Source organism: Homo sapiens, chromosome 18 (assembly GCF_000001405.40).
Source record: "Homo sapiens chromosome 18, GRCh38.p14 Primary Assembly".
NCBI classification, from domain to species: Eukaryota; Metazoa; Chordata; class Mammalia; order Primates; family Hominidae; genus Homo; species Homo sapiens.
Window position 1 is genome coordinate 10,282,638 of NC_000018.10, and position 2,226 is coordinate 10,284,863.

General features: G+C 44.7%; 2 annotated features.

Annotated features, from left to right (window-relative positions):
* Nucleotides 420-920: an enhancer, noted in NCBI's record as "H3K4me1 hESC enhancer chr18:10283054-10283554 (GRCh37/hg19 assembly coordinates)". NCBI's record gives its function as "activates a minimal SCP1, AML or CMV promoter by ChIP-STARR-seq in naive H9 embryonic stem cells {active_cell/tissue: H9 hESC(naive)}" and the evidence as "EXISTENCE:reporter gene assay evidence [ECO:0000049][PMID:30033119]".
* Nucleotides 921-1,421: an enhancer, noted in NCBI's record as "H3K4me1 hESC enhancer chr18:10283555-10284055 (GRCh37/hg19 assembly coordinates)". NCBI's record gives its function as "activates a minimal SCP1, AML or CMV promoter by ChIP-STARR-seq in naive H9 embryonic stem cells {active_cell/tissue: H9 hESC(naive)}" and the evidence as "EXISTENCE:reporter gene assay evidence [ECO:0000049][PMID:30033119]".

Genomic DNA, 2,226 nt, shown 5'->3' on the forward strand with positions numbered 1-2,226 from the left:
GAGACTCCCCCTAGAACAAAGCTGTCCTAGGTGAGGGCATCTTCCAGGGAAACAGCTCCTTGGAGGGGTAGGTTCCAAAGGACAGAAAGGCCTGTGTTTGGGAAGTGACTTTTTATTAGCTAGCCTTGCCATTCTGCCAGATGATACTTGCATTTCTTCATCTGCAAAAGGGGATGGTATAACTACTTACAGGGTTCTATGGAGATAACTGTCTATGTCCACACACCTAGAACCAGGCATAGATTCTCAATGATCATTTATTGACTATAGAAAGGTTTTAAATGAAATACACAGGTTAAACATTCTCTTTAAAAAGAGAGCTTGAAGGAAAAGTGCTTAAAGACCTGGCAGATGAAGATCCATATTTCATCTTGCCTACAATTTTCAGTTGTACATTGTTTCAAAATTGAAGCAGGCTTTAAAGCACTAAGTGTTAGTTCATGCACATGTTTCCCTGGAAAAGCATAATTAATGAGCCAGGTGCACATGGAGGAAGCAAGAGAACGGCCAAGCCCCAGCAGCTGGGTGAGGAAAGCAGCGAATGACCAGTCAGTGGAGAGGCAGCAACACTCATGCCTGGGCTGTGGCAGGAAGAGCCATGCCTTTGCAGAGTCAATTCAGAGCACCGTGTGAGTTTGGGTCCATTCTGCCCTTTGGAAGGGAGGACTCTTCTTCATTTCTAAGATGTTGCTAAGGGAGAAGGGGTGAAAAACTGCAGACGTCTCTTTTTTCCTTTTTGCTTCTAACTCTTTCTAATGCTCAGAGAAATCCCCAGTTTATGAACCTCCATGGTAAGCAGAGGTACCTCCCACTCAGAAGCTGAACACGGCAGATCCTCATGTCCCAGCCTTCCTGGAAACAGAGGGCAGAGGCCCCTCCACAGAGGGCAGCAGTGTCAGCAGGCTAGAAATGACAATGGGGCCCCATGCCAGGGTGGGCAGTGGGCAAGTCCCAGCTCGAGTGCCTGGCAGTGAGGGCCACGTGTCCTCTCCGGCCAGGCCTGGGTGGGATTTGAGGTTTAAATAAATTCATCTGCTGCTCAAATAAGTCAGTTGGTTTCTGTCCTTACAATGAATAAGTCTGACTGGGCAATGTCTTATTTAATTAAAGTATTTAATTTTACATCTTTCCTCTTTGTCCTCTGCACACTTCCCATGTAGTCCATGAATTAATTGAAGATGTTGCCTCTTTTGCAAACTCTTGAGCCAACGTATTTTCTACTTCCTTGGGGTACTTGTCTTCTGTTTGAATGAAATGCTACCAGAAATTGTTCATGTTTTGAGATCACCTACACTTATCACCCACTAAGCTCAACTTTCCCTCCTGGAGGAGGCTAGAGGCAGCCTGTCCCCTCCTCTTTCCTGTCTTTTATGCTTCTCAGCACCAGCCAAGGCTCCAGCTAAGACAGGAGCGCTGCTCCAAAGTGGCCAAGGTGGATTTGCATCCTGCCTGTTCTTTGCAGAGCCATTAAGCTGTGCGGGTACCCAGGTGATCACTCTGCCAACCCTTGTGATGTGACATCAGGCAACTACATATCAGGGACTCAAATTCAGCTGCTAATATTTTTCGTGTCCTTGAGTTAACTAAGAGGCTGGGTTGAGAATTTTAAAGTAATTCAAAACAGATTAAAACTCTTCTGTATATTTGTTGTGACTTTACTGGGTTTACCAGGAAGATGGAGAAATACACAAAAAATATGGAGCTCTTACATGTAATGAAAAATTCAAATAATTTTTTCAGTCTCCAAAGTTCAACTGTAGTCTCTAATCTGTCATGAATCAGGCCAGTTTCCCATTACCTTTAGTGAATTCACATGCCATGGCCAGGACAAAAACTTGAACCTGGTCATATTCCTTCTAGGGTGGACCAGGCAATACAGACAGACCCGGCAAGGCAGTTTGAACAATTTGCTTGCACTCAGAAGAGGAATGTGGGCCCCCGGAACACAAGCCTCTACGAGACTTGAAAGCAAATCTGGGTTTTCCCATCGCCTTTATGTTTTATGAGGGTTGGGGAAATGTTGGCTGTTTACTAATTATCAAAGCTGTTTTTATGACTTCCCCAAAGGAAAACAAAAAAGGAAAGGGCCCAAGTGTATTCATTTAGGCCTGGGATGAAAGCTTGACCTTTAGCGCACTTGGGGAACTGGATGGTTTGTAGTGCTGGAAAATAAAACTCGGAATGCATGTTCAGGAAAGCAGGAAGCTTTGAAGTTGAAAAAGCCAA